Source organism: Homo sapiens, chromosome 12 (genome assembly GCF_000001405.40).
Source record: "Homo sapiens chromosome 12, GRCh38.p14 Primary Assembly".
Lineage (NCBI taxonomy): Eukaryota > Metazoa > Chordata > Mammalia > Primates > Hominidae > Homo > Homo sapiens.
In genome coordinates this window covers 97,704,936-97,728,526 of record NC_000012.12, presented here as the reverse complement: position 1 = coordinate 97,728,526, position 23,591 = coordinate 97,704,936, and the positions used below count along the sequence as shown (strand labels likewise).

The following is a 23,591-nucleotide window of genomic DNA, read 5'->3' as shown; positions in this document are numbered from 1 at the left end:
TTCCATTGATCTATATCTCTGTTTTGGTACCAGTACTATGCTGTTTTGGTTACTGTAGCCTTGTAGTATAGTTTGAAGTCAGGTAGTGTGATGCCTCCAGCTTTGTTCTTTTGGCTTACGATTGACTTGGCGATACGGGCTCTTTTTTGGTTCCATATGAACTTTAAAGTGGTTTTTTCCAATTCTGTGAAGAAAGTCATTGGTAGCTTGATGGGGATGGCATTGAATCTGTAAATTACCTTGGGCATTATGGATATTTTCACGATATTGATTCTTCCTACCCATGAGCATGGAATGTTCTTTCATTTGTTTGTATCCTCTTTTATTTCCTTGAGCAGTGGTTTGTAGTTCTCCTTGAAGAGGTCCTTCACATCCCTTGTAAGTTGGATTCCTAGCTATTTTATTCTCTTTGAAGCAATTGTGAATGGGAGTTCACTCATGATTTGGCTCTCTGTTTGTCTGTTGTTGGTGTATAGGAATGCTTATGATTTTTGCACATTGATTTTGTATCCTGAGATTTTGCTGAAGTTGCTTATCAGCTTAAGGAGATTTTGGGCTGAGACGATGGGGTTTTCTAGATATACAGTCATGTCGTCTGCACACAGGGACAATTTGACTTCCTCTTTTCCTAACTGAATACCCTTTATTTCCTTCTCCCGCCTAATTGCCCTGGCCAGAACTTCCAACACTATGTTGAATAGTAGTGGTGAGAGAGGGCATCCCCGTCTTGTGCCAGTTTTCAAAGGGAATGCTTCCAGTTTTTGCCCATTCAGTATGATATTGGCTGTGGGTTTGTCATAGGTAGCTCTTATTATTTTGAAATACGTCCCATCAATACCTAATTTATTGGGAGTTTTTAGCATGAAGCGTTGTTGAATTTTGTCAAAGGCTTTTTCTGCATCTATTGAGATAATCATGTGGTTTTTGTCTTTGGCTCTGTTTATATGCTGGATTACATTTATTGATTTGCGTATATTGAACCAGCCTTGCATCCCAGGGATGAAGCCCACTTGATCATGGTGGATAAGCTTTTTGATGTGCTGCTGGATTCGTTTTGCCAGTATTTTATTGAGGATTTTTGCATCAATGTTCATCAAGGATATTGGTCTAAAATTCTCTTTTTTGGTTGTGTCTCTGCCCGGCTTTGGTATCAGAATGATGCTGGCCTCATAAAATGAGTTAGGGAGGATTCCCTCTTTTTCTATTGATTGGAATAGTTTCAGAAGGAATGGTACCAGTTCCTCCTGGTACCTCCGGTAGAATTCGGCTGTGAATCCATCTGGTCCTGGACTCTTTTTGGTTGGTAAACTATTGATTATTGCCACAATTTCAGCTCCTGTTATTGGTCTATTCAGAGATTCAATTTCTTCCTGGATTAGTCTTTGGAGAGTGTATGTGCTGAGGAATTTATCCATTTCTTCTAGACTTTCTAGTTTATTTGCGTAGAGGTGTTTGTAGTATTCTCTGATGGTAGTTTGTATTTCTGTGGGATCGGTGGTGATATCCCCTTTATCATTTTTTATTGTGTCTATTTGATTCTTCTCTCTTTTTTTCTTTATTAGTCTTGCTAGCAGTCTATCAATTTTTTTGATCCTTTCAAAAAACCAGCTCCTGGATTCATTAATTTTTTGATGGGTTTTTTGTGTCTGTATTTCCTTCAGTTCTGCTCTGATTTTAGTTGTTTCTTGCCTTCTGCTAGCTTTTGAATGTGTTTGCTCTTGCTTTTCTAGTTCTTTTAGTTGTGATGTTAGGGTGTCAATTTTGGATCTTTCCTGCTTTCTTTTGTGGGCATTTAGTGCTATAAATTTCCCTCTACACACTGCTTTGAATGCATCCCAGAGATTCTGGTATGTTGTGTCTTTGTTCTCGTTGGTTTCAAAGAACATCTTTATTTCTGCCTTCATTTCGTTATGTACCCAGTAGTCATTCAGGAGCAGGTTGTTCAGTTTCCATGTAGTTGAGCGGCTTTGAGTGAGATTCTTAATCCTGAGTTCTAGTTTGATTGCACTGTGGTCTGAGAGATAGTTCGTTATAATTTCTGTTCTTTTACATTTGCTGAGGAGACCTTTACTTCCAAGTATGTGGTTAATTTTGGAATAGGTGTGGTGTGGTGCTGAAAAAAATGTATATTCTGTTGATTTGGGGTGGAGAGTTCTGTAGATGTCTATTAGGTCCACTTGGTGCAGAGCTGAGTTCAATTCCTGGGTATCCTTGTTGACTTTCTGTCTCGTTGATCTGTCTAATGTTGATAGTGGGGTGTTAAAGTCTCCCATTATTAATGTGTGGGAGTCTAAGTCTCTTTGTAGGTCACTCAGGACTTGCTTTATGAAGCTAGGTGCTCCTGTATTGGGTGCATATATATTTAGGATAGTTAGCTCTTCTTGTTGAATTGATCCCTTTACCATTATGTAATGGCCTTCTTTGTGTCTTTTGATCTTTGTTGGTTTAAAGTCTGTTTTATCCGAGACTAGGATTGCAACCCCTGCCTTTTTTTGTTTTCCATTTGCTTGGTAGATCTTCCTCCATTCTTTTATTTTGAGCCTATGTGTGTCTCTGCACGTGACATGGGTTTCCTGAATACAGCACACTGATGGGTCTTGACTGTTTATCCAATTTGCCAGTCTGTGTCTTTTAATTGGAGCATTTAGTCCATTTACATTTAAAGTTAATAGTGTTATGTGTGAATTTGATCCTGTCATTATGATGTTAGCTGGTGATTTTGCTCATTAGTTGATGTAGTTTCTTCCTAGTCTCGATGGTCTTTACATTTTGGCATGATTTTGCAGCGGCTGGTACCGGTTGTTCCTTTCCATGTTTAGCGCTTCCTTCAGGAGCTCTTTTAGGGCAGGACTGGTGGTGACAAAATCTCTCAGCATTTGCTTGTCTGTAAAGGATTTTATTTCTCCTTCACTTATGAAGCTTAGTTTGGCTGGATATGAAATTCTGGGTTGAAAATTCTTTTCTTTAAGAATGTTGAATATTGGCCCCCACTCTCTTCTGGCTTGTAGGGTTTCTGCCCAGAGATCCGCTGTTAGTCTGATGGGCTTCCCTTTGAGGGTAACCCGACCTTTCTCTCTGGCTGCCCTTAACATTTTTTCCTTCATTTCAACTTTGGTGAATCTGACAATTATGTGTCTTGGAGTTGCTCTTCTCGAGGAGTATCTTTGTGGCGTTCTCTGTATTTCCCGAATCTGAACGTTGGCCTGCCTTGCTAGATTGGGGAAGTTCTCCTGGATAATATCCTGCAGAGTGTTTTCCAACTTGGTTCCATTCTCCCCATCACTTTCAGGTACACCAATCAGACGTGGATTTGGTCTTTTCACATAGTCCCATATTTCTTGGAGGCTTTGCTCATTTCTTTTTATTCTTTTTTCTCTAAACGTCCCTTCTCGCTTCATTTCATTCATTTTATCTTCCATTGCTGATACCCTTTCTTCCAGTTGATCGCATCGGCTCCTGGGGCTTCTGCATTCTTCACGTAGTTCTTGAGCCTTGGTTTTCAGCTCCAACAGCTCCTATAAGCACTTCTCTGTATTGGTTATTCTAGTTATACATTCTTCTAAATTTTTTTCAAAGTTTTCAACTTTTTTGCCTTTGGTTTGAATGTCCTCCCATAGCTCAGAGTAATTTGATCGTCTGAAGCCTTCTTCTCTCAGCTCGTCAAAGTCATTCTCCATCCAGCTTTGTTCCATTGCTGGTGAGGAACTGGGTTCCTTTGGAGGAGGAGAGGCGCTCTGCGTTTTAGAGTTTCCAGTTTTTCTGTTCTGTTTTTTCCCCATCTTTGTGGTTTTATCTACTTTTGGTCTTTGATGATGGTGATGTGCAGATGGGTTTTTGGTGTGGATGTCCTTTCTGTTTGTTAGTTTTCCTTCTAACAAACAGACAGGACCCTTAGCTGCAGGTCTGTTGGAATACCCTGCCATGTGAGGTGTCAGTGTGCCCCTGCTGGGGGGTGCCTCCCAGTTAGGCTGCTCAGGGGTCAGGGGTCAGGGACCCACTTGAGGAGGCAGTCTGCCAGTTCTCAGATCTCCAGCTGTGTGCTGGGAGAACCACTGCTCTCTTCAAAGCTGTCAGACAGGAACATTTTAGTCTGCAGAGGTTACTGCTGTCTTTTTGTTTGTCTGTGACCTGCCCCCAGAGGTGGAGCCTACAGAGGCAGGCAGGCCTCCTTGAGCTGTGGTGGGCTCCACCCAGTTCGAGCTTCCCAGCTAATTTGTTTACCTAAGCAAGCCTGGGCAATGGCGGGCGCCCCTCCCCTAGCCTCTCTGCCGCCTTGCAGTTTGATCTCAGACTGCTGTGCTAGCAATCAGCGACATTCCGTGGGTGTAGGACCCTCCGAGCCAGGTGTGGGATATAATGTCGTGGTGCGCCACATTTTAAGCCGGTCCGAAAAGCGCAATATTCGGGTGGGGGTGACCCGATTTTCCAGGTGCGTCTGTCACCCCTTTCTTTGACTCGGAATGGGAACTCCCTGACCCCTTGCGCTTCCCAAGTGAGTCAATGCCTCACCCGGCTTCGGCTAGCGCACGGTGCGCGCACCCACTGGCCTGCGCCCACTGTCTGGCACTCCCTAGTGAGATGAACCCAGTACCTCAGATGGAAATGCAGAAATCACCTGTCTTCTGCGTCGCTCATGCTGGGAGCTGTAGACCAGAGCTGTTCCTATTCGGCCATCTTGGCTCCTCCCAGTAGTTTGTATTTCTGTGGGATCGGTGGTGATATCCCCTTTATCATTTTTTATTGCGTCTATTTGATTCTTCTCTCTTTTTTTCTTTATTAGTCTTGCTAGTGGTCTATCAATTTTGTTGATCCCTTCAAAAAACCAGCTCCTGGATTCATTAATTTTTTGAAGGGTTTTTTGTGTCTCTATTTCCTTCAGTTCTGCTCTGATTTTAGTTGTTTCTTGCCTTCTGCTAGCTTTTGAATGTGTTTGCTCTTGCTTTTCTAGTTCTTTTAGTTGTGATGTTAGGGTGTCAATTTTGGATCTTTCCTGCTTTCTCCTGTGGGCATTTAGTGCTATAAATTTCCCTCTACACACTGCTTTGAATGCATCCCAGAGATTCTGGTATGTTGTGTCTTTGTTCTCGTTGGTTTCAAAGAACATCTTTATTTCTGCCTTCATTTCGTTATGTACCCAGTAGTCATTCAGGAGCAGGTTGTTCAGTTTCCATGTAGTTGAGCGGCTTTGAGTGAGATTCTTAATCCTGAGTTCTAGTTTGATTGCACTGTGGTCCGAGAGATAGTTCGTTATAATTTCTGTTCTTTTACATTTGCTGAGGAGAACTTTACTTCCAAGTATGTGGTTAATTTTGGAATAGGTGTGGCGTGGTGCTGAAAAAAATGTATATTCTGTTGATTTGGGGTGGAGAGTTCTGTAGATGTCTATTAGGTCCACTTGGTGCAGAGCTGAGTTCAATTCCTGGGTATCCTTGTTGACTTTCTGTCTCGTTGATCTGTCTAATGTTGATAGTGGGGTGTTAAAGTCTCCCATTATTAATGTGTGGGAGTCTAAGTCTCTTTGTAGGTCACTCAGGACTTGCTTTATGAATCTGGGTGCTCCTGTATTGGGTGCATATATATTTAGGATAGTTAGCTCTTCTTGTTGAATTGATCCCTTTACCATTATGTAATGGCCTTCTTTGTGTCTTTTGATCTTTGTTGGTTTAAAGTCTGTTTTATCCGAGACTAGGATTGCAACCCCTGCCTTTTTTTGTTTTCCATTTGCTTGGTAGATCTTCCTCCATCCTTTTATTTTGAGCCTATGTGTGTCTCTGCACGTGAGATGGGTTTCCTGAATACAGCACACTGATGGGTCTTGATTCTTTATCCAATTTGCCAGTCTGTGTCTTTTAATTGGAGCATTTAGTCCATTTACATTTAAAGTTAATAGTGTTATGTGTGAATTTGATCCTGTCATTATGATGTTAGCTGGTGATTTTGCTCGTTAGTTGATGCAGTTTCTTCCTAGTCTCGATGGTCTTTACATTTTGGCATGATTTTGCAGCGGCTGGTACCGGTTGTTCCTTTCCATGTTTAGCGCTTCCTTCAGGAGCTCTTTTAGGGCAGGACTGGTGGTGACAAAATCTCTCAGCATTTGCTTGTCTGTAAAGGATTTTATTTCTCCTTCACTTATGAAGCTTAGTTTGGCTGGATGTGAAATTCTGGGTTGAAAATTCTTTTCTTTAAGAATGTTGAATATTGGCCCCCACTCTCTTCTGGCTTGTAGGGTTTCTGCCCAGAGATCTGCTGTTAGTCTGATGGGCTTCCCTTTGAGGGTAACCTGACCTTTCTCTCTGGCTGCCCTTAACATTTTTTCCTTCATTTCAACTTTGGTGAATCTGACAATTATGTGTCTTGGAGTTGCTCTTCTCGAGGAGTATCTTTGTGGCGTTCTCTGTATTTCCTGAATCTGAACGTTGGCCTGCCTTGCTAGACTGGGGAAATTCTCCTGGATAATATCCTGCAGAGTGTTTTCCAACTTGGTTCCATCTTCCCCATCACTTTCAGGTACACCAATCAGACGTGGATTTGGTATTTTCACATAGTCCCATAGTTCTTGGATGCTTTGCTCATTTCTTTTTATGCTTTTTTCTCTAAACTTTCCTTCTCGCTTCATTTCATTCATTTCATCTTCCATTGCTGATACCCTTTCTTCCAGTTGATCGCATCGGCTCCTGAGGCTTCTGCATTCTTCACGTAGTTCTAAAAATATGGAACGCTTCACGAATTTGCGTGTCATCCTTGCGCAGGGGCCATGCTAATCTTCTCTGTATCGTTCCAATTTTAGTATATGTGCTGCCGGAGCGAGCACTGTCACATAATTCTTAATCCATCTTTTATGACTCTTCTCTTTATTTGATCCCTCTTTAGTTGTACAGCTCAGTTTAGCTCATCTTCTATAAAAATGTGTTGCATCAGTCAAGAATATATTTGACTGCAAGTAACAGAAAGCCCTAACACATAATATCTTAAACAGGAAAGAGATTTGCCTGTATCATGCAATAAAAGCACGGGGGTTGGTAGAAAAAGGGCAGGATAGTAGGGGCTCAATGATGTGATTAAGACTCCATCTATTTCCCCAATATTTCCCCCTCTGCACGAGCCCTTCTTCAACATGTGTATAATCTCATAGTCACAAAATGGATGCTGCACCTCCACGCTTATGTTCATGTTACATGCAGAATGATGCAGAAAAAGACTACAATCCTCTTATCAAGTGGTGGAATCTATTTCCTTACCCATTGAGTCTGGTTTGGCCTTGTGACTTGCCACGGCCAACAGAATGTGAAGGAATCAAAGATATTCCAGCCCCAAGAAGTCTTTCATGCTTTTAAAATTTGCTTTGATGCCACCAAAACAGCCTGCTAGAGGATGAGAAACCATGTGAGGCAGAGACTGACTATTCCAGATGAGTCTACATTAGACTGGTGACCCCTCAACTGACCCACATCTCACCACAACACATGTGTGAGCCAGCCAAAACTGTAAGAGCTGCTCAGCTGAGCTCCACCTAACTTGGTGACCTAAAGAATCATGAGCTAAATAGTTGTTTTAAGCCGCTAAGTCTTGAAGTGTGTTTTTATGCAGCAAAAGCTTACTAATACCCATGGGCTCTTCAGAATTGCACCATTCCCACCCCATCTGCACCTGCAATTTCCTTGACCTAAAGGAATGCATTTCTATTCTGGCTGAATATTTACCTCTCATTCTTCATTAGTAGAAATTGAGTGGAGCTATTGGCTTCTTTCTGCTGAACTCCCTTCACCAGTTTTGGACAAACCAACAATGAGCCCAAATGGCTTTCTCTTGGGCGTGTCCTACACATGACCTCACATTCTTAGCTCAGATTCATTCTGGAGGAGCAAGCTGCCTAACACAGTCACCCCTTCTTGTCTTCAGATGTTGTTGTGGGTGAAAGATCCCAATATAGTATCCCACAAACTTAGAGGATAGTTATCAAGTTCTCTGAATCATCCTAAATTCCTTCTCTATTGGCTTGAGGTGGAGGTGGAAGTAACCCTCCTACACTTTAGTAAACGAGAGAGACTCATGACACACCAGCTGCCTCCAAAACTCCTCTGCAATCTCCAATAATCCAACTACTGCTACCCTCCTTGGGGTGCTGGGCTAAGAATCATTCTTTTTTAAGGGACAAGGTCTCACTCTGTCACCCATGCTGGACTCTGGTGATGAGATCCTAGCTAATTGCAACCTTGAACTCCTGGATTTCAAGTGATTCTCCTGCCTCAGTGTCTTGAGTAGTTGTTAGGACCACGAGTAGGCACCAGCATGCCTGACTTTCTTTTTTTTTTCTTTTTTTTTTTTTTTTGTAGAAATAGGGTCTCACCTCTTGCACTTGCTGAGAATCTTTTAACAGATTTTTAAAATAACATTCCTTTCAAATTCCACATTATGGTTTCTCACCTCACATCAGAATGTGACACCAATTTCCATTTTATCATCCTGTACACTGAGATAAAGTAGTCCCCACATGCAGATTTAAAGTGTATTAACAAATACTAAAGTCATTTTGGGATAGAGACGGAGAGGGGAGGAAGTTAGATAACTGCTTTTCAGAACTCAGAACTGAACAGAAAGCATGCCATGTCTCAATTCAAATTTTAATCACAAAACTTTAAATTCACTTGAACATCATCCTTATCACTTGGGATTCAAAGCTACCTGAAGGACTATAAACAAAAGGTAATGAATGCCAGCGAAGAGGTGTCATAAATGTTGAGACGATTCCTGGTGGGGTGCGGCAGAAAGCAGCTGCCCTACAATGTCTGTTCTGATTTAACATCTTCATTCATAAGCCAGAGTAGGGAACAGACAGCGCACTGATATAATTCACAGATGGTACTCATTTGGGAGATATTATGAATACTAGAGATATCAGAGAAATGATACAAAAGGACCTAGAGAAGGAATAACAATGAGACTTGACTTGACTTTGAAAATGCAAAGTGATATGTCAGCGTGAAAAAAGGAAATCTTCAACATTTAAACAGCAGGGAGAAACTGGAAGTCAATGTTTAAAGTGACATCAAGTTAAATAATGGAATGAAATTTAAAATTGGAAAATTTTAAATATAGCAGTAAAATTACTAGTATATCTTTTAATCGTCTTTAATTACTGAAAGCTTAATTAGGTATCCTTCCGATGTGCCCCTATATCCCTATCTTGTCACATTGTTTTTATACATTACATTTGATTTGTTTATCCTTCCCTCCAGACTTTGAGCTTCTTGAACATAGAGACTGGGTTACATTCATCATTGTAAATCTGGGGTCCACCTCAATGACGAGCACATGAGAGGCATTGGATAAATACTTCCTGAAGGTAAAAATGAACTACTTCCAATAGCATCTCTTTGTACAGAATGCAATGATGCAAAGTTACCTGGTAATATTTAGATTTTCAGAACTCTACAAGTAAAGCGGAAGGGTTATGAAGAGTTGGCAATAACAATAATACCACCTTTCATTATTTGTATAGGTTTTTCATAATTATTGTTTGAAGAGAAAAATATAATGACTTTAACTTTTTTAGATCCCATTTGTCAATTTTGACAAATGGGATCTAATTAAACTAAAGAGCTTCTGCACAGCAAAAGAAACTACCATCAGAGTGAACAGGCAACCTACAACATGGGAGAAAATTTTCGCAACCTACTCATCTGACAAAGGGCTAATATCTAGAATCTACAATGAACTCAAACAAATTTACAAGAAAAAAACAAACAACCCCATCAAAAAGTGGGCGAAGGACATGAACAGACACTTCTCAAAAGAAGACATTTATGCAGCCAAAAAACACATGAAGAAATGCTCATCATCACTGGCCATCAGAGAAATGCAAATCAAAACCACTATGAGATATCATCTCACACCAGTTAGAATGGCAATCATTAAAAAGTGAGGAAACAACAGGTGCTGGAGAGGATGTGGAGAAATAGGAACACTTTTACACTGTTGGTGGGACTGTAAACTAGTTCAACCCTTGTGGAAGTCAGTGTGGCGATTCCTCAGGGATCTAGAACTAGAAATACCATTTGACCCAGCCATCCCATTACTGGGTATATACCCAAAGGACTATAAATCATGCTGCTATAAAGACACATGCACACGTATGTTTATTGCGGCACTATTCACAATAGCAAAGACTTGGAACCAACCCAAATGTCCAACAGTGATAGACTGGATTAAGAAAATGTGGCACATATACACCATGGAATACTATGCAGCCAAAAAAATGATGAGTTCATGTCCTTTGTAGGGACATGGATGAAATTGGAAACCATCATTCTCAGTAAACTATCGCAAGAACAAAAAAACCAAACACCGCATATTCTCACTCATAGGTGGGAATTGAACAATGAGATCACATGGACACAGGAAGGGGAATATCACACTCTGGGGACTGTGGTGGGGTCGGGGGAGGGGGGAGGGATAGCATTGGGAGATATACCTAATGCTAGATGACACGTTAGTGGGTGCAGCGCACCAGCATGGCACATGTATACATATGTAACTAACCTGCACAATGTGCACATGTACCCTAAAACTTAGAGTATAATAAAAAAAAAAAAAAAAGACTTTAACTTAACTCTTATATTTAAAAGAGACAGAGAGGGCCAGGCATGGTGGCTCATGCATGTAATCCCAGTGATTTGGGTGACCAAGGTGGAAAAATTTCTTGAGGCCAGGAGTTGGAGACCAGCCTGGGCAACATGGTGAGACCCTGACTCTACAAAAAATAAAAAAATTAGCCAGGTGTGGTGATGGGTTCCTGTTGTTCCAGCTACTTGGGAGACTGAGGTAGGAGGATCACTTGAGCCTGGGAGATGGGGACCTCAGTGGGCCATGACTGCACCACTGCACACCAGACCAGGTGACAGAGCAAGACTCTGTTTCAAAAAATAAATATAAAAAATATAAAATATAAATACATAAATTCAAAGGAGAGGGAGGGGGCATTCTTTACTATACAGCATACATTTGAGAATTATAGATACTCTCTGATTTGTAGAAGATACTTATGTCAACTTGAACATTACATTAGACATGCAAGGCATGCTAGCATAGTGTGCAGTAGGAAACAGCAAAATGCAGAAGAAGTTTATAGCAGTGGTTTACTGAGTATGGCTTAGGAACCTGTGTTGGTCTCCAAAACTCTTATGGGGTCTGCAAAGTCAAAAGTATTTTCATAATTATACTGAGATGTCATTTGCCTCTTTTACTCTCATTCTTTCTTGAGTGTACAGTGGAGTTTTCCAGAGGCTAAGTAACATGTGATGGTATCACCCAATGACTTGTGGAATGTTTACTTCTATACTCTTGTGCTTTACGTTGTTCACAGCTTGAATTTCTAATACAATAAATATTCACAGACGTAACACACACAAACAAAAGCTTTTGGGGACGCTTAGTCATTTTTAATAAGGTAAAGCAGTCCTGCAACCAAAAAAGTTGAGACCTGCTGGCTTAGAATTCAGACTTTGGGGTCAAATATAGATTGAAATCCCCATTTTACTGATTTATCAGTTATTTACCTTTTATATGCCCTCATGTCCTGGGCATAAGATTAATATTTACCTCATGGAGTTGTTGTGAGAATTAAACAAGAAAATACTAGCAAAGAACACAGTTCAGTGCCAAGTCCATAGCCCAAGGCTTAATAAGTAGTTTATCATCATTTTAAAGGAATGAAAACATGGTGACTTCCAGGAGCACTTTTATGACCCTTTGGAAACCAGGTTTCCTTTGCGGTACCCCATTCATCCTCCAAAGGGAGCAGAGGAGAGAAGGTGAGAGGGCAGAGTCTTCATTGCTCTTCCTGCCTAGAAATCAATGAGAAATTGATGATTCTGCTGCTTCTGACTTCTGAGGGTGTGGGTTCATTATTAATTTCAAACTTGCCTTTGGTAGCGCCTGTGTGTAAATCAGAACATGAAACAGATGATGTCTCCCCTCTGGTGGTTAGAGCAGGAAAGGGCATCAATTTCAAGCAGGAGGAGCAAAGGGGCTCCATGCTTCTTAGCAATGGCCTTTACAGAGACACATCCCTGCCATGGACAACAGTCCCAGGTGGAGAATATCAAAGATCATACTCTTTCTTTTCTTAGAGGAAGCTGGTTCCTAAGGACTGCTGCATTCAAAATAGTAATACTAATACAAATATTATAAATTATAAGGATAATCAGATTTACATTTCTCTGACATTTCCCAGTGAACACTTCCATTTGCATAGATCTCAAACATCAGAGCTGGAAGGATCATGGTGATTATTGGAACTAAGCCTCTAATATAGAGATGACATGAAGAAAAGGGGACTCAGAAAATTTAATTGACTTGCCCAAGATTATACAAATAATGAAAGAACCATGGTCTTATTAAAACTTGTAATAACTTTATGTGCAGAGTGGATATTGTCTGTTACACCCAATTTGCAGGTGAGAGAACTGAGACAGGTTAAATTATTTCCCCAGAGTTATCTACTGAGTAAGTTGCACAGCCAGGATTCAAGTCCATGTCATCCAAGGGGACTTCACTACTTTATCTTCAGCATTACTATCATATTTTCAGGGACCCCCTACTTCCTAGAAAAACAACTGTAAGGAATAATGCTTCAGGAAACACTGCTGGTAGCACAAATGTTACTATCCTTGCCCTTCTTTCTCCCATCAAACATTTCAGTCTTGCTATACCCTTACATAGGCCCGTGCTGTCTCAAGAGTTCCCAGTGTGTCCCTAAGCTTTTAGAAGCCTGTATGCTGGGCAGAATGGGCACATTCATGAGAGATGCCGATACTACTGAAGAATTAGACTCCTCAGGCAGAGCTGATGACTCTGACCCAGGAAGCACCAAAGGGCTCTCTTGCTCAGAGCTAGTTCCTCTACCATTTTGCTGCTGTAGTGTATATCTGCCCCCAACACCTATTCATTCATTTACATTACACTTTTGAACGGCTTACAATAGACATGTAATTTTGGCAGGGTGATGCTTTTCATATAAATATAGATTAGTTCCATATTGAGATCAGAAGAAATAGGGTTCTATGGTAAAAGCTACAGTCGTGAGCAACTGGAGAGCACTGAATATCAAGGAAAGTCTTACTGCATTTCCCTCAAATGTGATCTTTTTAGAGATATTCTTCTTTGATCTCTAAAGCTATCAAAGCTGGCCTGTTTTTACTGATTTCCACAGATCCCTTTACCTAGCTCCATCTTAGACACTCTAGTCATTGATCCCTTCGTTTCGTCTATTCTAGTTAATTAGCCAACTAGGTAGCCCATTTGTGCTGCAGAGAAGTCAATGCATATCCATATCACAGGTACTTCTCCATATAAAGTCTGTGGCCAATTGTTGTATACTACCTGTATCTTTGCCCATTGGGAGGGCTTCAGGCTCACCCAAGCGGTGGCTGCCATGCAGTAGCAATCTATTTCTAGCAAGCACCAATATGTCTTGCTGACACACCAGTGAACTGTGTCTTAACTCCACAGCAGCAGGAGTAATGGAGGCCTTGCTGTAGTCCAATACTTGCCAAGAGAGCTGGTAATGCTGGTGGATGAGGTAGTAGCAGCTATAGCTAAAAAGACAACAGTAGCAGCTGGAAGACAGGGGAAGTTAAGTGAATCTGAATGGATGCATACTATTTACACAAATAGTATAGTATAGAAAGCCTCACAAAATTATTTGACCATAGAGCAAGTTCTATTAATATCTTGAAGATTTTGTAGAATGCATGTAAACAGGGTTATTTCTGTTTTATGGATACTGTACAAGTTTGAACTACATAGATGAATTAGCAATTATCTTTCTAATATTGGAAAAGATCTTTTTCATTCGTATGTGTAGCTTCTGATTATGATACTTAGCATATAGGAGAAACATTTATGGACATGGGGCTTTGGTTCAGTGCCTTTCTCTGCTGCTTATAAACCCTGCAACCTTGAGTAACGTACTTAACCTTCTGAGCTTCAGTTTCCTCATCTCTGCAATGCAGATAATAATGGCTATATTCCAGGATTTTTGCTATGAACTTAATACATGGAAACTTTTATAATCATGATTACCAGTTAGGCATTAACTACTCCATTAGCTAGCCAAGATAAACGAGGTTATGCTGCAATAACAAATCAATCTCAAAATCCCATGGCTTAACACAACAAAAATTTGTTTTTCACCCAGACTACACATCCACTGTGGGTTAGTGAGGGCTACGCTCAGAACCCAGGCTAATAGTCCCCCTGATCTTTTAACTGAACCATCTGAGATGTGTGAACCTTTCGTCACCCAGCAGAGTAAGAGAGCTCTGGAGAGTCTTGCACCAGCAATTAAAACCTTTGGCCCAGAAATGACACATGTCATTTCAGCTCACAGCCTGGTGGCTAAAGATATCCTCATGGACTCACATGATTGCATGGTGGTTGGATGCAGTGGAAGCCCCATGTGTATTTGTTGAATGAATAAATAAAGGAATAAACCAATGAATACAAATTATAATTTGTATATAGTGTTGTTTCTATGTGCCCCCAAACTGCGATTTACACACATTTTTTCTTGTGTAATAACTAAATGGTTACAACTAGGTAGGTATACAATTGGCTGTGAGTACTGATACAAATACACTTTTATAATACATGATTTTAGTAAAATTGTCAATCGTTATGTTATGTTTCTTTGCAGCATCACTTTAGAGAGAATAACTCACAAGCCCTGAAGTCCTGCATTTGGTTTGGCTCATTGAAAAACTACTCAGAGGAATTTGACAACGACATTAGGTGTCTCCATCACAGCTTTATGGAACAGTTAATGTGAGCTCGCTTTCAAGTCAGAATCTAAAAGTCCAGGTGCATCTTAACTCTGAACCTTTGAAGTTTACTCATCCTCATTTAATGTGATAATGTAATCTATATGTTCAGAATCCATTTGAGGGGCAGTACAGGGAAAATGGCATGCAGAAGGAAAGATGAACTGCTCTCAGGGGTGAAATCTATCTCACACGTGCATTTATCTTGGGCAGACACTGTTGTTTAAACTAAAGATAATCACAGGCAGTTCTGTGACATTAACCTGCTTAGTTACTCCTGAATAAAACCAGGAATGAAAATGAGGGCAAAGGTGAGCAGTGACTATGAGGATTATTTTATTTCTGTGCTAACACTGTCTCATCCTGCCTTTAGGAAAATGGTACCTGTGTGTTAGAAGCTCACATTGATTTCTCAAGTTATAATTAATATACTTGGGCTGTTGTTACATATGAAAGATTAGAAGGCTGAATACTCTATTTACTCTAACAATGCAGTCAGATTACCACTTTAATGCTCAGAAAAGGCTCTGCCATTACCATAAGCTCCATGGCATTATTCAGAAGGCACCGCTTACTCATTTTATTTTCCTTGTCCTTCACCATATTCTAAATAGGTAAAAAGGTAAACATATTAATAGGCTTAGTATATCCCCCTCCACCCAGAAAGAATGTGAAGAATAACATCTATCCTGAAAAAAAGACAAAAGAGAAGAAAGCTCATTCAGAAAAATAAAGGGGAGAGGAGTAAGCGTGGAGGGTTGATGGTAGGGGGAAAAGGGAAGCTGAAAAATAGAATTTACATAATGAGCAAAGGAAAAAGGTTAAAGCCTTTTTAAAATTCGTATGCTGCCTCTTCTTAAGAATGCCTCAAGGATTAGAATAGACATTAGTCATATTCATACCAAATATGAGAAACGCAGCCTTAGGATAGCCCTTTTTAAAAAATTCTTCAAGAAACAAGCAATTATTTCTTATCTATGGGGGAAATCATTGGAATTGTGGTGGGGGGCGCAGCACACAGTTGAAAAAAACAAAAAACAGAGAAAACCCGAAAGACCCTGAGGAAGTAATGCCTTCCACTTCAAACATTGAGAATGGCTGTTTGTTATCATGAAGCAACCCTGTCAGGTAGCCTTCAAATCTTTTGAATTCTTTCTTACCTCATCTCTCACTTCAAATAAGAAGCAGCTGCCTATCATAAAACGAGTTATCAAAAACTAAACCAAATGGAAGTTGTTTGCACAACAGTCAATCTGGGCTAACTGCAACAAACAAAATGAAGCTAAGAAATCTCAAATGCTGCCGTTATATTTGGTGAAGAGCTCAAGTATTTCCCTACACTCTCACAGTGGTGTATATGTTACCACTGTGGTTTTAATATTGGCTCTGGGACATGTTTCTTAGCTTCTCTGATGGACACAAATGCCCCTTTTGTGTTCTCATGGTAGCGTGTACCTCTCCTTTGTAACTCTAACTACCCTTGAAATTCTACATTTACTCAAATGATTGATTATTTTAGTAAATTTTGTCTTCTCTACTCATCTGGTTCCCTGAGGACAGGGGATATGCCATTTCCTGGTTCACCATTGTGTCGCTGTCTCTTGGCAGAGGTCCTGGTACCTGCAGACATGCAAATGATATGTGTTAGGTGAACAGATGACTGAAGTAGGTGAACCTGTTAATTAGTTCAAATTAAAGTCTCAGAAAATAACTACCTCTATTTTCTTCTTCAACTGTCTTTCTCCTGTTGCCTACCCCTTATTCTCTAAGCACTTTACCTAGGAATTCTGTCTTCAGTAACTTTTTCTTACATATGTAAATTTCATGTTTTAGAACGGTGTTAGATTTACAGAAAAATTGCAAATATAATGGAATTCCCATATATCCTGATTTCAATTTTCCCTATTATTAACATTTTACATTAGCATTTGTCACAATTAATGAAACAATATTTATACCTTCTTCTTATTAAAGTCCATTACTTTATTCAGATTTCCTTAGTCTTTACCTAATGTCATTCTTCTGACCCCATCCAAGATACCATATCACATTTAAACATCATACTTCCTTAAGTTCTTCTTGACTGTGACAATTTCTCAGGCTTTGTTTTTGATGACCGTGACAGTTTTGAGGAGTACTGGTGGGATATTCCACAGAAAGTCTCTTTTGGGATTTGTCCAAAATTCTTCTCATGATTAGATTGGGGTTATGGGTTTAGGGGAGGAAAACTACAGAGGAAAAATGCTATTTTTCAGTACATCATATCATGGATAGGTACTATCAACATGACATCACTGTGGTTGATCTTGATCACCTGGATGAGGTGTTGTGTGCAGCGACACTAAAGAATAATGTGTTATGCTCCGTATCTTTGAAAGTGGAGATTTACATAAATTATTTGGAATTCTTCTGCACGGAGGAGTTGTCTATTCTCCGTCATTTATTTAATGAATCCTTACTTATATCAGTAGGGCTTGTGGATATTTATCTTATATTTAAAGTTATCATCCAACACTTTATTTATTTATTTGTTTATTGTCAAATTGTTTCAACTCTGGCTACTTAGAGCTCTTTCAGTTGTATTCCTTTGGCATTCTTTCTTTCATTTTCAGTTATTTTTGTTTGAGCACTTACTTATTTTATGGCACTGTAAGATGCTTCAAGCTATTCTTATATATTTCATGCCCCAGACATACAATCTGCCATTTTAAGTCAGTTCTTCAAGGAGCCTGATATGGTTTAAGTAATGGCGTCCCCTTCAACATTTATGTTGAAACTTAATCCCCAGTGCAGCAGTATTTTTATTATGATGTGCTTAATATGATTTAACATTTAATAAAACCAAATAAGTATATTAAATAATACATAGCAAAAAAATGACCTATTTTACTTTAGTAAGATATTCAACACCTGGTAAAGGGAAATAATATGAACTGATTGCATGTGGATGTGCTAAAGTCTATATAAAATGGATGAAGTGATGTAAGCTAGATTTTGTGAAAATAAAAATATATTTAAAAAAAAAAAAAGAGGTGTGGCGTTTGGGAGGTGACACCCTTCAAAAGTGCTGGAGGTCAGTGGAAGCACTCTCTTGCCCTTTCACCTTCTGCCATGTGAGGACACAGCAACAAGGTGCCATGTGGGAGGCAGAGAGCAGCCCTCATCAGATGCCAAGGCTGGTGCTTCGATCTTGGACTTCCCAGCTTTGAGAACTATAAGGAAAAAAAAAATCTGTTGGGTATAAATTACCCATTATAAGGTATCTTGTTATAGCAACACAAACAACTAAGATAGAATCCTTGCTTCTTTTACTGGAGAATGAAAACCAAGATCTCTGCTCATGTTACTGGAGTGTTGGCTCTTCTATGCCCTGTGAGCTTAAAGAGCAAGGAAATACATATGTGTGTAGATTTACAGATACACAGGTATCTATAAATATTTCGTTTTCTTCTTCTTCTTTTTTTTTTTGATAGAGGGTCTCACTCTGTCACCCAGGCTGTACTGCAGTGGCGCAATCAAGGTTCACTGCAGCCTCAACCTCTCAGGCTCAAACGATTCTCCCACCTCTGCCCCCCAGGTAGCTCGGACCACAGGTGTGCTACCATACCCAGCTAATTTTTGTAATTTTTGTAGAGACACATTTTTGCCATGTTGCCTAGGCTGGTCTTGAACTTCTGAACTCAAGTGATTCACCTGCCTTGGCCTCCCAATGTGCTGGGATTACATGTGTGAGCCACCATGTCTGGTCTAGATATTTCTATATGTAATCATCTGCATGTATATTTAGTTGAGTATGAGTTCATACTGATGATGTCTCCAATTCCAATTCATTACTACATATATCACGCCAGCTTCCTCCCCTTGCTTTTTTGTAAACTCTCACTCCAGCAGTGAGAAACCTGGCTCCCACCCTCTGCCATTCATCCATTTATGTAATTATTCAATTCCTGCATAAGTGGATGTAAGTATCAGAATTTTTAACCCATACTCCTGTGGGACATAACATTATCAGCTAAAATACATACTTATGTACTATTTATTTTGCCTTTAGTTGTATAGACTTCATTTATTTCCAAAGTGACTTAGATCAGCACCTTTTCCCCCACACACTTCAGTAAGGTTGTTTCCTACACTTGGAATAGTTAGATTGTTTTGTCACATTCTGTATTCCATCCTGTGATTCTCAGACTTCTTACATGATGTTATGTTCAATTTGCATACATTACAGTTTACTCTTTGTGCTGTAAAATGTAGTGGGTTTTAATAATCACATAGTATTATGTATTCACAAATACAGTATCATACAGAATAGTCTCACGGCCCTAAAAATCTCTTGTGCACCACCTATTCAACCTTCCCTTTCCTTTCTTCCAAATCCATGCCAACCACTGATTCTTTTTCACTATTGCTAGATTTTGCCTTTTCCAGAGTGTCATATAATTGGAATCATACAATATGTAGTCTTTTTAGACTGGTTCCTTTCACTTAGCAATATGCATTTAAGATTAATCCATGCCAAAAAATGTTAAGGGCAGCCAGAGAGAAAGGTCGGGTTACCCTCAAAGGGAAGCCCATCAGACTAACAGCGGATCTCTGGGCAGAAACCCTACAAGCCAGAAGAGAGTGGGGGCCAATATTCAACATTCTTAAAGAAAAGAATTTTCAACCCAGAATTTCATATCCAGCCAAACTAAGCTTCATAAGTGAAGGAGAAATAAAATCCTTTACAGACAAGCAAATGCTGAGAGATTTTGTCACCACCAGTCCTGCCCTAAAAGAGCTCCTGAAGGAAGCGCTAAACATGGAAAGGAACAACCGGTACCAGCCGCTGCAAAATCATGCCAAAATGTAAAGACCATCGAGACTAGGAAGAAACTGCATCAACTAATGAGCAAAATCACCAGCTAACATCATAATGACAGGATCAAATTCACACATAACACTATTAACTTTAAATGTAAATGGACTAAATGCTCCAATTAAAAGACACAGACTGGCAAATTGGCTAAAGAGTCAAGACCCATCAGTGTGCTGTATTCAGGAAACCCATGTCACGTGCAGAGACACACATAGGCTCAAAATAAAAGAATGGAGGAAGATCTACCAAGCAAATGGAAAACAAAAAAAGGCAGGGGTTGCAATCCTAGTCTCGGATAAAACAGACTTTAAACCAACAAAGATCAAAAGACACAAAGAAGGCCATTACATAATGGTAAAGGGATCAATTCAACAAGAAGAGCTAACTATCCTAAATATATATGCACCCAATACAGGAGCACCTAGCTTCATAAAGCAAGTCCTGAGTGACCTACAAAGAGACTTAGACTCCCACACATTAATAATGGGAGACTTTAACACCCCACTATCAACATTAGACAGATCAACGAGACAGAAAGTCAACAAGGATACCCAGGAATTGAACTCAGCTCTGCACCAAGTGGACCTAATAGACATCTACAGAACTCTCCACCCCAAATCAACAGAATATACATTTTTTTCAGCACCACACCACACCTATTCCAAAATTAACCACATACTTGGAAGTAAAGGTCTCCTCAGCAAATGTAAAAGAACAGAAATTATAACGAACTATCTCTCAGACCACAGTGCAATCAAACTAGAACTCAGGATTAAGAATCTCACTCAAAGCCGCTCAACTACATGGAAACTGAACAACCTGCTCCTGAATGACTACTGGGTACATAACGAAATGAAGGCAGAAATAAAGATGTTCTTTGAAACCAACGAGAACAAAGACACAACATACCAGAATCTCTGGGATGCATTCAAAGCAGTGTGTAGAGGGAAATTTATAGCACTAAATGCCCACAAAAGAAAGCAGGAAAGATCCAAAATTGACACCCTAACATCACAACTAAAAGAACTAGAAAAGCAAGAGCAAACACATTCAAAAGCTAGCAGAAGGCAAGAAACAACTAAAATCAGAGCAGAACTGAAGGAAATACAGACACAAAAAACCCATCAAAAAATTAATGAATCCAGGAGCTGGTTTTTTGAAAGGATCAAAAAAATTGATAGACTGCTAGCAAGACTAATAAAGAAAAAAAGAGAGAAGAATCAAATAGACACAATAAAAAATGATAAAGGGGATATCACCACCGATCCCACAGAAATACAAACTACCATCAGAGAATACTACAAACACCTCTACGCAAATAAACTAGAAAGTCTAGAAGAAATGGATAAATTCCTCAGCACATACACTCTCCAAAGACTAATCCAGGAAGAAATTGAATCTCTGAATAGACCAATAACAGGAGCTGAAATTGTGGCAATAATCAATAGTTTACCAACCAAAAAGAGTCCAGGACCAGATGGATTCACAGCCGAATTCTACCGGAGGTACCAGGAGGAACTGGTACCATTCCTTCTGAAACTATTCCAATCAATAGAAAAAGAGGGAATCCTCCCTAACTCATTTTATGAGGCCAGCATCATTCTGATACCAAAGCCGGGCAGAGACACAACCAAAAAAGAGAATTTTAGACCAATATCCTTGATGAACATTGATGCAAAAATCCTCAATAAAATACTGGCAAAACGAATCCAGCAGCACATCAAAAAGCTTATCCACCATGATCAAGTGGGCTTCATCCCTGGGATGCAAGGCTGGTTCAATATACGCAAATCAATAAATGTAATCCAGCATATAAACAGAGCCAAAGACAAAAACCACATGATTATCTCAATAGATGCAGAAAAAGCCTTTGACAAAATTCAACAACGCTTCATGCTAAAAACTCTCAATAAATTAGGTATTGATGGGACGTATTTCAAAATAATAAGAGCTACCTATGACAAACCCACAGCCAATATCATACTGAATGGGCAAAAACTGGAAGCATTCCCTTTGAAAACTGGCACAAGACGGGGATGCCCTCTCTCACCACTACTATTCAACATAGTGTTGGAAGTTCTGGCCAGGGCAATTAGGCGGGAGAAGGAAATAAAGGGTATTCAGTTAGGAAAAGAGGAAGTCAAATTGTCCCTGTGTGCAGACGACATGATTGTATATCTAGAAAACCCCATTGTCTCAGCCCAAAATCTCCTTAAGCTGATAAGCAACTTCAGCAAAATCTCAGGATACAAAATCAATTGCAAAAATCATAAGCATTCCTATACACCAACAACAGACAAACAGAGAGCCAAATCATGAGTGAACTCCCATTCACAATTGCTTCAAAGAGAATAAAATAGCTAGGAATCCAACTTACAAGGGATGTGAAGGACCTCTTCAAGGAGAACTACAAACCACTGCTCAAGGAAATAAAAGAGGATACAAACAAATGAAAGAACATTCCATGCTCATGGGTAGGAAGAATCAATATCGTGAAAATATCCATACTGCCCAAGGTAATTTACAGATTCAATGCCATCCCCATCAAGCTACCAATGACTTTCTTCACAGAATTGGAAAAAACCACTTTAAAGTTCATATGGAACCAAAAAAGAGCCCGTATCGCCAAGTCAATCGTAAGCCAAAAGAACAAAGCTGGAGGCATCACACTACCTGACTTCAAACTATACTACAAGGCTACAGTAACCAAAACAGCATAGTACTGGTACCAAAACAGAGATATAGATCAATGGAACAGAACAGAGCCCTCAGAAATAACGCCACGTATCTACAACTATCTGATCTTTGACAAACCGGAGAAAAACAAGCAATGGGGAAAGGATTCCCTATTTAATAAATGGTGCTGGGAAAACTGGCTAGCCATATGTAGAAAGCAGAAACTGGATCCCTTCCTTACACCTTATACAAAAATCAATTCAAGATGGATTAAAGACTTAAACGTTAGACCTAAAACCATAAAAACCCTAGAAGAAAACCTAGGCATCACCATTCAGGACATAGGCATGGGCAAGGACTTCATGTCCAAAACACCAACAGCAATGGCAACAAAAGCCAAAATTGACAAATGGGACCTAATTAAACTAAGGAGCTTCTGCACAGCAAAAGAAACTACCATCAGAGTGAACAGGCAACCTACAAAATGGGAGAAAATTTTCGCAACCTACTCATCTGACAAAGGGCTAATATCTAGAATCTACAATGAACTCAAACAAATTTACAAGAAAAAAACAAACAACCCCATCAAAAAGTGGGCGAAGGACATGAACAGACTCTTCTCAAAAGAAGACATTTATGCAGCCAAAAAACACATGAAAAAATGCTCATTATCACTGGCCATCAGAGAAATGCAAATCAAAACCACAATGAGATACCATCTCACACCAGTTAGAATGGCAATCATTAAAAAGTGAGGAAACAACAGGTGCTGGAGAGGATGTGGAGAAATAGGAACACTTTTACACTGTTGGTGGGACTGTAAACTAGTTCAACCATTGTGGAAGTCAGTGTGGCGATTCCTCAGGGATCTAGAACTAGAAATACCATTTGACCCAGCCATCCCATTACTGGGTATATACCCAAAGGACTATAAATCTTGCTGCTATAAAGACACATGCACACGTATGTTTATTGCGGCATTATTCACAATAGCAAAGACTTGGAACCAACCCAAATGTCCAACAATGATAGACTGGATTAAGAAAATGTGGCACATATACACCATGGAATACTATGCAGCCATAAAAAATGATGAGTTCATGTCCTTTGTAGGGACATGGATGAAATTGGAAATCATTATTCTCAGTAAACTATCGCAAGAACAAAAAACCAAACACCGAATATTCTCACTCATAGGTGGGAATTGAACAATGAGATCACATGGAGACAGGAAGGGG

At 39.7% G+C, this 23,591-nt stretch overlaps 2 pseudogenes across 1 annotated transcript in view, besides 1 other annotated feature; one reads left to right on the top strand and one right to left on the bottom strand.

The window, feature by feature from the left end:
- PAFAH1B2P2 (PAFAH1B2 pseudogene 2) overlaps positions 1-15,115 on the top strand; it is a 43,106-nt pseudogene extending 27,991 nt beyond the window's left edge. Inside the window, exons 6-7 of the transcript NR_077241.1 lie at positions 9,237-9,343; positions 14,696-15,115. The product of NR_077241.1 is annotated as a PAFAH1B2 pseudogene 2, transcript variant 2 (transcript). The remainder of the gene's footprint in view (positions 1-9,236; positions 9,344-14,695) is intronic.
- Positions 4,301-4,802: an enhancer, noted in NCBI's record as "H3K27ac hESC enhancer chr12:98117503-98118004 (GRCh37/hg19 assembly coordinates)". NCBI's record gives its function as "activates a minimal SCP1, AML or CMV promoter by ChIP-STARR-seq in naive H9 embryonic stem cells {active_cell/tissue: H9 hESC(naive)}" and the evidence as "EXISTENCE:reporter gene assay evidence [ECO:0000049][PMID:30033119]".
- Positions 6,706-6,811, bottom strand: RNU6-36P (RNA, U6 small nuclear 36, pseudogene; annotated as a pseudogene).
- Positions 15,116-23,591: the final 8,476 nt, after the last annotated feature.